The sequence below is a fragment of the Homo sapiens genome, chromosome 7, assembly GCF_000001405.40.
Source record: "Homo sapiens chromosome 7, GRCh38.p14 Primary Assembly".
NCBI classification, from domain to species: Eukaryota; Metazoa; Chordata; class Mammalia; order Primates; family Hominidae; genus Homo; species Homo sapiens.
Window position 1 is genome coordinate 46147873 of NC_000007.14, and position 13824 is coordinate 46161696.

General features: G+C 39.9%; 2 annotated features.

Moving 5' to 3' along the window:
• Positions 6402-6471: an enhancer, noted in NCBI's record as "active region_25973". NCBI's record gives its function as "activates an Ori minimal core promoter by ATAC-STARR-seq in GM12878 lymphoblastoid cells {active_cell/tissue: GM12878}" and the evidence as "EXISTENCE:reporter gene assay evidence [ECO:0000049][PMID:35858748]".
• Positions 6619-6913: an enhancer, noted in NCBI's record as "tiled region #10400; HepG2 Activating DNase matched - State 5:Enh". NCBI's record gives its function as "activates a minimal TATA promoter and a strong SV40 promoter by Sharpr-MPRA in HepG2 cells {active_cell/tissue: HepG2}" and the evidence as "EXISTENCE:reporter gene assay evidence [ECO:0000049][PMID:27701403]".

Genomic DNA, 13824 nt, shown 5'->3' on the forward strand with positions numbered 1-13824 from the left:
GGGATGGCTAGGCTGAAGGGTATTTCTGTCTTAAGTTCCTTGAGAAATCTCCAAACTGCTTTCCATGGTGGCTGAACTACTTTACATTCCCACCAGCAGTGTATAAACGAGCCGTATTCTCTGCAACCTTACCAGAATCTGTTGTTTTTTGAACTTTTAATAGTAGCCATTCTGACTGGTGTGAGATGATATCTCATTGTGGTTTTTAATTTGCATTTCTCTAATGATTAATGATGTTGAGTATTTTTTCATCTGCTTGTTGGCTGAGTGTATGTCTTCATTTGAGAAGTGTCTGTTCATGTCCTTTGCCCATTTTATAATGAGGTTTTTTTGTGTGTGTGTTGACTTGTTAAAGCTTGTTATAGATTCTGGGTATTAGATCTTTGTTGGATGTGTAATTTGCAAATGTTTTCTTCCATTCTGTAGGTTGTCTGTTTACTCTGTTGATAGTTCCTTTTGGTGCAAGCATCTGGAAAGCTCTCAAGTACCAGGCAAGTTATAGGGATGTATTGCTAAATGGAGATTTGATATCTTTTATTCCTCCCATGATTTTTCTGCTGTTATTTTTTTAAGTCAGCAGTGATTGCTTTTATTGGTAAGGATATCCAGATATAGAAAAGTATACCAAATAGTACAGAATAAACATCCAAATATTTATATCAACTGGAATTTTCTCTGTGACATTGGATAAGTAGCTGAATTTTACTGAATTTTTTCATAGTTAAAATAGGAACAGCACTCTTGCCAGGAGGATCAAATGCGTAGATAGACATAAAAATGCTTCTTCACTTCTCTTCCCTCTGAATCTCCATTTCTCTTTCTATTTACTTGTTTTTAAATAGACTATTTTAGAATAATTTTATTTTATAGAAAAATTTATTTCTTTATAACAATCATGTTATAATTTATATTAATTTAATTTATATAATTTTTATTTATAAAGATAAATTTTATGATTTCTAATTTTAATTTATAATTTAAAAAATTTTCCATAAGTTACTGGGGTACAGGTGGTATTTGGTTATATGAGTAAGTTATTTAGTGGTGACTTGTGAGATTTTGGTGCACCCATCATGTGAGCAGTATACACTGCACCATATTTGTAGTCTTTTATTCCTCACTCCCCTCCTACTCTTCCCCCCCAAATTCCCAAAGTCCATTGTATTATTTTTATGCCTTTGTGTCCTCATAGCTTAGCTCCCATATATCAGTGAGAACATACAATGTTTGGTTTTCCATTCCTGAGTTACTTCATGTAGAATAATAGTCTCCAATCTCATCCAGGTCACTGCAAATGCTGTTAATTCATTCTTTTTATGGCTGCATAGTATTCCATTGTGTATATACACACACACACATATATATATATATCACAGTTTCTTTATCCACTCATTGATTGATGGGCATTTGGTTCATTCTATTTTATAGAAAAATTGCAAAGATAGTGCAGAGAGTTCCCATATACCTGTTTAACACCTTATATTAGTATGGTACATTTTTCACAATTAATGAATCAACGTTGCAACACTATTATTAACTAAAGTCCATACTTTATTCAGATTTCCTTAATTTTTACCTTATGTTCTTTTTCTGATCCAGGATCCCACTGTGGATATTGCATGGCATTTAGTCGTTATGTCTCCTCCAGCTCCTCTTGGCTGTGACAGTTTCTCAGAATTTTGTTGCTTTTGATGATCTTGACAGTTTGAGGAGGACTGGTTAGGTGTTTTGTATAATGTCCCCTAACTGTTATTTGTCTAATGTCTTTCTCATCAACAGACTGGGGTTATAGGTTCTTGGGAGGAAGGCCACAGAGATAGAGGGCCATTTTCATCACATCCTGTCAAGGGTAAGCACTGTCAGCATGACTTCGCCCTGTTAATGTTGACCCTGATCTCTGGCTGAGGTTATGTTGGTGATATTTCTCTACTGTCAAGTTACTTGTTTTCTTTTCATACTGTACTCTTTGGATGGAAGACACTATCAACAATCAACACTTAAGGGGTGAAGAGTTTACTCCATCTTCTAGAGGCCAGAGTTTCTACATAAATTATTCGGAATGCTCCCGCCTAGGACATTTTTCTCTTCACCCCCATTTATTTATTTATTCAATGTTTTATTTTGATCAGTATGGACTCATGTTTATTTATTTCATATTTTGAATTATCATCCAATGTTACTTTTTGTTTTTCAAATTGTTTCAGTTTTGGCCATTGAGACCTTTTCCAGTTGGTTTCTGTGTTCCTTTGACATGCCCCCAACATGTTTGTTTTGGGTTTTATTTTCAGCACTTGCTCGCTTTTTGGCACAGTAAGATACTTCGGGATCATCTCGTATACTTCCTGTTCCAGTCCTAGAATCAGCAATTTTTCTGAGAACCCCTGGCTCCTTTCATGAGAGAATGATGTTAGACACCAAGATCTGGGTGCCTGTGCTTGCTGGTGCTGGGGTATAGTTGCTTGCAGGCACTTTGACCTGACAGAGCAAGAAAATACATATGCATACCAACCTGCATGTGTACACATTTCTGTGTGTGCCTATCTCTACATCAAGATAAACATGAGTTCACAGTGATGTTTCCAAGACTAATCCACTACCATATGGGTCATTAGAGCCTCCTCTCTTGCTTGTTGCCTCTCCCACAGTGAGAAACCTGGCTCTTACCACCTGCCATTCATTTACTTAATTGTTCAGTTGTAGTGTACATGTATAGTGTTTTCAGAATCATTTTTTTTGCTTACTCTATAAGCTAACCATTACCTTCTGCCTCAGCTCAGTGCTTTTGTGCTTGTGCCTTACATTCCCTACTGTAAATCCACAAAGACAAGATTTGTATATATTTGATTCTCCTTTATTTCCATTGTAGAAGAAGGAATTTATTTGTCTCATGATTTTTTAAAGAAATATTTTAGATTCCTTAAAATAGGGCCATTTTAGGAGAAGGAATTCTATGCATGTGTGGGGACAGGTGGGTGCAACTTGGAAGTTCTGTTAACAAGAAAAGCTTGTGATGATGGGTGTGAAAATGAGTGGGAGGTGGCTGTGGTGAACAAGATGTCTCCAGACTAAAGAATTACAGGAAATTATCCAGGTGGATTCAATCTATAGTATGTGTCATTGCCACATGGAATATGGGATGACCAGATTCTAACTCAATGGTTCTAAGTCATGTTGATATCTAACACAAAGAGCAGTGACTTTTTTCTGGGCTCATGAGATAGAGGAGTCTAAAAAGCAGAGAAATGAAGAAATCACTGGGGTGAGGAAAAGGCATTTAAAAGAATTATGGGCCTTTTGGCAGAAACCAATTTTCAAGAGTTTGAGTGTAGATTGATATTTTTCCCTTCTACTTTTTCTGTATCTTCTAAATGTTCCCAAACAACAACATGTCATCTTTATAATGTAAGAAAAACATTTATTTTAAAAATATTTTGCTCAGCTGTATCACTCTGTTGCTAAAGGATATGGCTTAATTTCCATTCTTTAGCAACAGTGGCTATTGGGAAGACAAAAAAAGTGCTTAAACATTCTTCTGTAACTCCATGTTGCAATTGTAGAGAAGCTGCACTTTTTCTATCAATTTTAATATCATATGGCAAAAAGAAAAAAAGGAAAAGAGAAGTTGTATTACTTTTGAGTGTTCTACACACCAATATAAAGGAAGAGCTCAATGAAGCCTTAGCTATGTAACACCATGATGCAGAACCTTAGCTCCCTAAACCTGACTCATTCTTATGTTGTTGATATAGTGATTGAGGCTGGGGAGCCATCCTACAGTGGCAGTGTGTTCAAACATAAGATTCTGTTATTATTATTATTATCATCATTTCAAAGAGCATGTTATTTGCTAGGTGTGAGACTTGAGAGTATAAGAAATGGAAAATGAGAGGCTCCAGTTTTTGGTACCTTTGCTATAGCAATATTTGACTTACATATCGTGAAACCAAGCACACAAGTCATACACAGTCATGCATCTCTTAACAACTGAGGTGCATTCTGGGAAATGTGTCATTAAGCCATTTTGTTATTGTGCAAACATGACAGGGTATACTTATACAAACCTAGATGGTAGAGCCTACTACACACCTGGGCTATATGGTATAGCCTATTGCTCTTAGGCCACGAACCTGTACAGCATATGACTATACTGAATATTGTAGGCAGTTGTAACACGATGGGAAGCATTTGTTTATCTAAACATAGAAAGAGTACAGTAAAAATTCAGTATTATCATCTTCTGGGGCCACTATAATATAGTCCATAATTGACTAAAATGTTGTTATGCAGTACATGACTATTTATATGTAAGTTGAATAAAAGAGTGGTATAGAAGTAGGAGCACTGGCCAGTGTGGCTGGAAGCTGCCCACCAGTCTCCATGTAAACAACTCAAAGGAATCTGTCCAAGCTGGACTTGTCAACAATGTTACTGAGGATTCCAGCATGACTGTAAATGCTCTGCTTTTAACTGTTCAGTTGGATGAAACTTGACAAATATTACAGTGGTGAAACTGTGACAAAAATTAAGACATAGAGCATTCCCATCACCTCAGAAATTTCCCCTTTACTGTCCATCACCCAACTTGTCCCAGCCCCAGAAAGCTGCTGATTGCATTCAGTGACTACACATTCACTTCGATGTTTTAGATTTCCTAACAAAAAATTATACTGTATGGAGTTTTTTATGTCTGGCTTCTGTCAAAAAACAACACTCCATGAATATTTTCAAGTTTTTGCATGATCTGGGCTTTTAAGCAAAAAGTCCTGGCCACCTGGGCTGAAGGATGATTGATGGTAACCATGTCTGGGAAGTTAGAGATGGGGAGTTATTCCAGAAACACTATGGTTCATCTGCTCTGCAGCCATTAGCTTACATTCCAAAGGGCAATGGACCTGAAGGCTTCTCCTTCCCACCTGAGAGGATCTGTTTATGTCAAAAAAAAAAAAAAACAAAAAAACCAGGTTTCTCTCTTTCCTCCAGAGGGGGAGCCAGGCAGCTGTACCAGCCACCCACATAAGCTGCAAGATTTATGATTTGGAGCTCCTTCTTGTGGCACAAACCAAATCACATGTGTAGGTGCCCACTGCTCTTCTTGCATCGTCCCATGGGGAGGGGCTGCATGGGGAACTGACACAAGATGCTCTGTGAATCATCAGGTCTGTCTTGGATCCAGAACAACATGCTTCCTGTCAGAACCAACCAACCAACCAACCAACCAACGACCCAACCAATGCATACATGTAGAAAAGACTTCACGGCTTCTTTCCCTCAGCCTTGTTTTAGAGACCCACCCACATTCATGTGTGTATCAGTAGTGGCTTTCGTTTTATTGCTGAGTAATATTGAATTGTGTAGACACACACAAAAAAATGTCAACGGTAGACCACCATAAAAATTTTCTAGGAAAGTTCAAAACTTATTTTTAATACACACACTCACACGCACACACACACATGCCCATACACACAAACACACACATTATGGTGGTCTACCATTGACATTTTTGACAATACTTTCATTTTAATGCCAGTAGACATACTCCTCTTGCAAATCCCACTGGCTCTAAGAAAAGCATATTCAGCTTGCATGCATGTGACCCTAAAAGTCAGGTGAAAATCTAAAAGGAAAAGCAGGTACTCCTGTGTATTTGCCTGTGTTAGGGGGAAGAAAAACTTGGAGACTTTAGCAAAAAACAAACAAACAAACAAAACAGAACAAAACAAAAAATCCTTCTAAGGATACATTGTCATTTCTCCTAAACATTCGGGCCATTATCAGCAGGCTGTGGTGTTAAGTCTTGTTTTTTCCTTTCTCACTTCCATTTTTAGCCCACAGAACTAAATCTAACTCATTTTAGGTAGTGCAATGTGAGACACATCATTTGATGCTTCTGACACTGAGGTCCCACAGCTGTGAAGGAGTGTCATGTTCCCTGGTCCACCCACCATTTAGGGCATCAAATCCTGGGGCTCTCTACACAAACAGATCTTGTAGATCTACATGTTTCTGACAACTATGTTGCAGCAGATAGCAACTACTTGCTGGAGGAAGGGTGGCTTTTCTAATGCATTGTAAAGGCAGTTTGGGCTGGTTGTGGAACAGAAAGTGCTGTGTGGACTGGATGACTGTTCTAGCCACACACTGTGGAGGGTGAGGTGCCCGCTCCTTCCACAGTGTCACAAGTTGATGTCGAGCCTGCAGAGCAGAAGCTGTGAAGCACCTGCCTCTCCTGAGGGCAGCCTGGAGGCATCACCTGCTGAGTTGTCTCTACCAAGCTGAAACACACACAGAAACCTCCTTTAGCAATTCTCCACGTGGACCAGTCACTGGAATTGCAGTGCCCTGGGCAAGAGATTAGTGAGATTTCACCAGCTAAGCAGGGCTGGGCTTTAGTAATGCTTGTTAGGGGATTTCCAAATGGTGTGGGGAGAGAATGTGTAATGCCTTCCCCACCTTTTGGGTGATATCACCTTTGAGTAAAACATAGTAAACAAAGTAAAAAATCCTGAGGGCAAGCCAACGAGGATTCTGGGGAAGGAATTTCTACTAAGCAGGGTAGTGCTTTCTCCATGGCCCTGAATCACCTGGCAGGGACTCAGCCTTGGAGGTTTCTTACACCACAAGATCATCTGTCTCAAACGTAGCCAGGGGGAAGTTAAGGGCAAAAGCTGATGTCAGAGACCCCTAGAGGCCCCTAGAGTAGTGGCTCCCAGTTGCTAGATGACAGCATTGTGCACTGTTCCTCAGGACACTCTACTTTGTTTAGTTTGTATAAACCAGTGACCTTTGCTTCTGCTTAGGCCACATGTTTCTGGGTAACTTTGCCACCCATGTACATCGTACAAAGTTCAAAAGTTGGGGCATTTCTCTGCCTCCTCCTGTTGCCTCATCAGGGATAACTCTGAGTTATCATTAAAACATAATGGATACATTTTAAACAAATTTTAAAATGAGATTTTTGTATTATCCTATTTTTATTAAAATATCGTTTGCAAATCTAATTCTCATTTTCCTGATTGTATTTTTTTTTTCCATTTCCAAGCCAAAAAGGATTACAAGAATTTTAACTTTGGCTTCTTAAAAAGAGCTAACTTGTTCTGGAGCACTATTTGCCTTTTTGCTCCTCAGGTCGAGACCACTCATCTCAGGCACGCAGAGGCTGTCTGTGACTATCCCAATTAAACAACTTGCAAGATCCTTCAAGCCAGAATTCAGGGTCGGCTCCAAGTGAGGGACACTTCACTGTTCTCTTCCACAACCAGACTATCATCTCTGCCCTAAGAGGAGCTGACAAGTCCACCTAGCAGACTAAAGAGTTGTGTACCAGGAGTCTCAAAGCTGTCTTCTGATGACCCACAGCTACCTTTCTGGGGGTCCTGGGGAGGTCACTTTCCTCATCTAGGTCTTAATCCCTTTTTATGAGATTGAGAGTTCTGAATGAGAACTACAAAGAACTGTTTAATTCTTGCCATCCAATGGCTAGAGGAGCATTTGGCGTGTGCCAGATATTCCCCGCTGGCCCCAGGGACCTCCTCTGCACCCCTTTCTGCCCTACTGTGCTCCCTAACAGGCGGACCTCTACCAGTGTTATTTCTGGGTCCCCTGCCCTCCAGCCCCTGGTTGGGGGTGGCCAGTAAGATTCACTAGGTATTAAACCCAAGAGACAGATATTTCTTCACTGTTAGCAAAGTCAGTCAGGCACCAGGAGAATGTCTCTGTGGGTGTCACTTAAGGGACTTTGGACACCTATGCTTAGGCTTGTTCAAATAAATGACATGTGAGTACTTTGCAGTTTGATAGTTCTATGAATCATGAATACAGTGCAATGAAAACGTCAACCTATAATGTTACCAGGGATTAATTGCTATGGATTATCATTCTTCTCTGCCTTGCTTTCTGCAAACATAACATTATTCCTTAAAAAACATATACACTTATGTGCACAAACACATGCACACATGATGTTTTTAGACTAATTAACATAATTAAAATTTTCTGAAATAGTTAAGTGGAATAGACTTTTTTCCAAAAATGACAGTTTCTTCTCCAGTGAAGAAGAAAAGACACCTCATAATTTAAACATTTCATTTGAAAATATATTCTCAGAAATGTATAATGTAGATATTGCTTTAAAACAAGCTCATCTTATGAATATTTCTCCAATTTGTCTGTAAGTTTGCCAATTTTTTTCTCCTTGGGTCAGGGTGCAGATATGTAGTGTGTATCAATTAGCATGATATATCTGCAATGTTTATATTAAAAATTACGAAAAACATGCTTCTCGAAACATGTAACTAGATACCAGTTAAGGGAGTCTCTGGTAGCCATGAAAATTGCACTCAGGGGACCCATAAGGTTAGCATTACATTGGAACAGATGATTGCCTAAGATTTGTAGCTGTGGGGACAAAGCTTTTGTCAGATCATTAAATCATATAACATCATAACCCCTTCTGCAGGAAGTCTGGGAGCCAAAATGGGATTGCTGAAATTTATGAGCAGAAGCACATGCAGTTTACTAGATAACTTGAAATAGGTAGAGCAAAATTGGAACCTCCCGACTCACTGAACTTGCTCTCCCCAGGCAGCTGTTGCAAATGGCCATGGTTTCCATGAAGAGTGCACAGATGGCTCCGTCCTCACAACTTCCTTAGAAAGATGGAAAATGGAACTTGTCTTGATGACAGTGTCTGCTAGGTTCATCAACTTCTGAAATGTGGTGACAGAGCATAGACTATAACTCATGGGTAAAAGGACATTGCTTAGAAGCAAATAGTAATATTTGTCAGGGAAGATCTTGAAGAGTTCACTTATTAAAACATTGAGTTGACATCTCTTATTTTGATCAAAATAAATGAAAATGGGGTCAGCATTGTAGTGTATTCTACCTTTAATTAGCTAATTAATTTTTGAGACAGGTTTGAGACCTACTCACTAGAAAGATACATGCATAGAATTTCACATACCCAAAGGAAATGAAATCAGTATTTCAAAGAGATAGCTACATGCCTGTGTTCATTGCAGCACTATTCACAGTAGCCAAGATATGGAAGCAACCTAAATGTCCATCACTGAGTGAATGGATAAAGAAAATGTGGTTTATAGACACAATGGAATACCATTCAGTTTTAAAAAAAGCAGGAAATCCCGTCATTTGTGACAACCTGGATAAATCTGGAGAACATTATGCCAAGTGAAATAAGCCAGATACAGAAAGACAAATACTATATGATCTCACTGATATGTGGAATCTTAAAAAGTTGTAATCACAGAAGCCGAGAGTAGAATGCTGGTTGCCAAGGGCTGGGGGCAGTGGGGAGGAGTGGGAAGGGGTGGGGCAGATGTTGATCAAAGGAAATACAATTTCAATTAGATGGAAATAAGTTCAGGAGATTTATTATACAGCATGGTGACTACAGTTAATAACAATATGTTGTATATTTAAAAAATGCTAAGAGGGTGGATTTTAAATGCTCTCACCACAAGAGTAGGTAGTATGTGAGGTGATGGATGTGCTCAGTTGCTTCATTTAATCATTCTGCAGTGTGTACGCATATCAAGACATCATGCTAGACATCATAAATATATGTAATGATTATTTGTCTACTAAAAATACTTTAAACAAAACTTTTGGGGGTTCACAGATCTGTTCATGTTTCTACCCCCAATTATGACACTTCCTCAGAGATTCCTCTGCTGTGATGAATGACGCCAAGCATGTGTTCCCAATCATGATTGCCTAAGAACGGCTTTCCACCTCTGGAGAGCCTTACGCTCTGCTGTTTTGGACTTTTCCCTTAGCATTGTTGAGGATTAGAGTAAAATAGAAATTAGTATAACCAAATATGGCATCGATTTGTTTACTGCTTTGTCTTAAGTGGGGTGCAAAGCTGTATATTTTATATCTTTTCTCAAATGATTCCTGAAAGTCCTAACATGCATCTGGGCTTTCTGAACTGTCTCCCCATTTTTTCCCCTATTAATTTGAACTTTACTCCTTTTCTTTACAAAATATTAAGGTTCTTCTTCATTTGGAATCCCACAAATCACAGTTTCCACTTGAAGGAATCTGATGTTGTCTCGGCTATGACTTGGAGCACTTGCTTGTGAGATTAAGCCTTATTGTACTGTTTTATTATATTTTATTATAAAAGGACTCACGCATCCCCCTAGGGAACCATGTCATCCCTGCTGTGCTGACCTCTGTCCCGCCCCAGTGCAAGCATCCCTGCCTCTGGGCTTTTGCACCTGTCCCTCCGCCTAAGGCTGTTCCTAGAATGTTTGCAAGGTGAGTTGTTGGCTCCTTCTCACATTCATATTTCAGCCCAAATGCCATCTCCTTAAGGGACATTTCTTTTCCCTTGATCTAAAGGAGCCTTGATGGACCACCTGAGATGGCTGCTTTCTTCATTCCAATCATAATAGTCCTGCAGTTTCTTGTTTATTTGTTACTCATTCCCCTACCCTGCCAAACAAAAGGCTTTGTGAAGAAGCCCCTGGTCTGTTACTGTGAAGGCCCCATCCCAGCACCTGACACCTAGCCGACCCTTGAGAAATGCTTTCCTGCCTCAGAAACTGACCTGAGAATATTTTGAAGTTACTAATGAGACCTCTATGTATATTTTAATGTGCAAAACTTGCATACTTACCCTTGCAGAAATGTAGAATGCTAGCTTATTGAGAAAACAAATGAAACACTTCACTCATGATAAATTCAACTGTGCAAAGTGCATATGCAGTGACAAATATTTCATAAATTATGAGCGTGGCAACAAAGATGGAGCAGGCTTAATTTTGATGTGGATTGACAGTTGAGAAGACCAGTAATTACTTAGATTGGTTTTTTTCTGCCTCTTTCTCCTGACTGATATATTTCTTATAAATTATAAGAGAAAGGTAATTTTTAAAAATAATAATTATATTGCTTACAGAATTTTCCTCCAAATGGTCATATAAAAATCTCCCTTGGCTGGGTGTGGTGGCTCACACCTATAATCCCAGCACTTTTGGAGGCCGAAGTAGGTGGATCACCTGAGGTCAGGAGATCGAGACCAGCCTGGCCAACGTGGTGAAATCTCATCTCTACTAAAAATACAAAAATTAGCTGGGCGTGGTTGCAGGTGCCTGTAATACCAGCTACTCAGGAGGCTGATGCTGGAGAATCGCTTGAACCCAGGAGGCGGAGGTTGCAGTGAGCTGAGATAGTGCCATTGCACTCCAGCGTGGGAGACAAGAGTGAAACTGTCTCAAAAAAAAAAAAAAAAAAACACTCCCCTAAGCTGCAGGCCAATATAGAGGTGGAGGTGCTTGGGGACCAAGCAATGATGAATTTGAGTCCATAAATATGCAGGGGAAGTCAGTGATGCTTTCTCCTCTAAGACAGATTCATGGTAGTAAAACTCTCAAGGTTAGGATGAACCGCCCACCTGAATCCAAATTCCACATTCCTCACATTGCACAACTCAATTTGAACCCTCTAAAACTCATTTTCATTATCTACAACATGTGCTTATATTCTTTTTCTCACAAGATGTTTGTTAATAGCAAATAGTAAGATGCATGGGAAAGTTCAGCATGAAGGTTAATTACTTTATTGTCCCATGGATATAACAGTGCTATGAATATAGTAGATACTTAATGAAGAGTTGTTTATTATTGCCTTTATCTCTTTCAATGGATATTCTGAAGCATTTTCTAATACTTGAATCAAACATTGGAGAAACTGGTATCAAGTTTTGAGGGGCAATAATAAAGGAGAGATTCCCTGAGTAGGATGCAGGTCTAAGTGCTTTGGGTCTAAGGGCCAATTTTAAGCCCTATGGTGAAGCTGCCCTTCCTACGTGCCCCATTGGGAACAAAAGTGGGGCAGGCTGAGGTTTCCTCATTTGTGTCTTACAGGATCCCATGGGGATAGGTTTTGGTCACAGCCAAAGGTCCTGCTTTGCCCACAGCCTATTAATTTAAATGTTAATCTCATCCAAAACACTCTCACTGACACACCCAGAATAATGTCTAATCCCATATCTGGGCTCTGTGGCCCAGCACATTTGACACATGCAGTTAACTATCACATTGAGCTTCTGGGGAACTCTTCTGTTTAGGCGATATTTTTCCGATACAATTGCTTCCTCTCCCAGTTCACTCCTTGACTCTCCGCCAGTGTCATTGGAGAACGGTGCACCAGCAAGAGGAACAGCAGTCACTCTGTTCCTCAGTGGACATGGGAGCAGTGCTGTCATTGCTCTTCAATGGCTGTTAGCACGTGCTGGTTCTCTTCTCCAAAGCATGCCACACTGCAAGGGTTCTGCTCAAATAACCATCGTGACTGCCAGCTGGGGCCTGGGACTCCAAGATTCTCCATTTACAGACAGGGAAAGTCACAGGGGAGTCAGGATGGCACAGGGATAGAAGCCAAATCTCTCATTGCTGGTCCACAGTTACTTCCTCTGCATCGGCCTTGACTTGGCATGAAATCACTGATGAGACTTCCACGACATGGATGAGGACTCCACTCCTTAGATTTGTCTGATGCAATAGAGAAGAACTAAATTCACCAAGTGTCAGCACTCCATTATCAATACAATTTGAAAAATTAATTCCAAAATCTGTACTATCCCTTTGTGTTCACTTTATGTGCTTGATACCTGAGGAAATACATCATTGACTAAAAAAAAAAAGGTTCTGCCCCCTCTCACTCCTTAAGAACAAGGTCTAGGTTGGTTGCAAAGAGTGAAGAAAGAACAAATACAGATACAAAGACAAACTAAAATTTAGTTACAGTTTAGATAACTAAAATCCTGTCTAGAAGTCTTGAGGAAGAGGGTCCCTGGGCCCATAGTTTGAATCAATGCAGTGATAGAATGTATTGGCCATTTAATCTGCAAACAGGAGTGAAGGATTAGTGTAATCAGGGTAATAGATCGATTTCAGTCTTTTCCTTCTTTAATTAACATCTGGTTATCTGTGAACAATAGCCACATAGTGCAAAGTACTTACTCTGCTTCTTCAAATTTGCCTCCTTTGCTGTCTGAAAATGGATTGATGTGACTAACATTCAGTTACTATGTGGTGTGCTGAAATAGTCATCTCAAGATTTTTTTTCTCCAAGATCATGATTAATGGGACAAATAACATCAAGTCCTGCCCTGGTTTGCCCACTGGCAACAGGAGCATGAGCAGTGCCCTTGCTTGTGGATGACGCACGACTCAGGCACCCAGAGCTGTGGCCCTGCTCGTGCTGCGAAGCCGAGGCCCTGGGCTGGGGCCAAATTTGGCCATGAGCATTTTCACTTTGGGAGATGTCAGGACAAGTTGGCAGGCAGAGGCCACAGTAGGAAGGCCGAGGATCTGATGGCCCAGGCCCCGCTGTTGAAGGGGCCACCAAGGGCTGATGGGCAGCATATGGTGAAGGTAGCAGGACCCAAGGTTTTAGTCCAGGGAGTTAGTTTAAGTCAAGAGGAAAGAAGAGGCATGGAGCCTGGAAGGCGAGTCTGTCCGGTAGCAGAAATGGCTTGATTTCATTTTACGACAGTTCTTAAAACTTTTGTTCTTACTACTTATTTTTTATTTGACAAGTAAAATTGTATATATTTATGGTGTACAAAACCATGTTTTGAAATATGTACACACTGTGGAAGTGCTAAATTCAGCTAATTAGCATATACGTTAGCTTACATAGTTGTCATTTATTTGTGGTGAAAGCTTTTCAAATCTACTCTGTCAGTAATGTTGGAGTGCACAGTATGTTGTTATTAAGTATAGTCACCATGCTGGACCATAGATCTCTTGCTGAATACTTTTGGCTCTTTCTACACAGTAAGCCCCA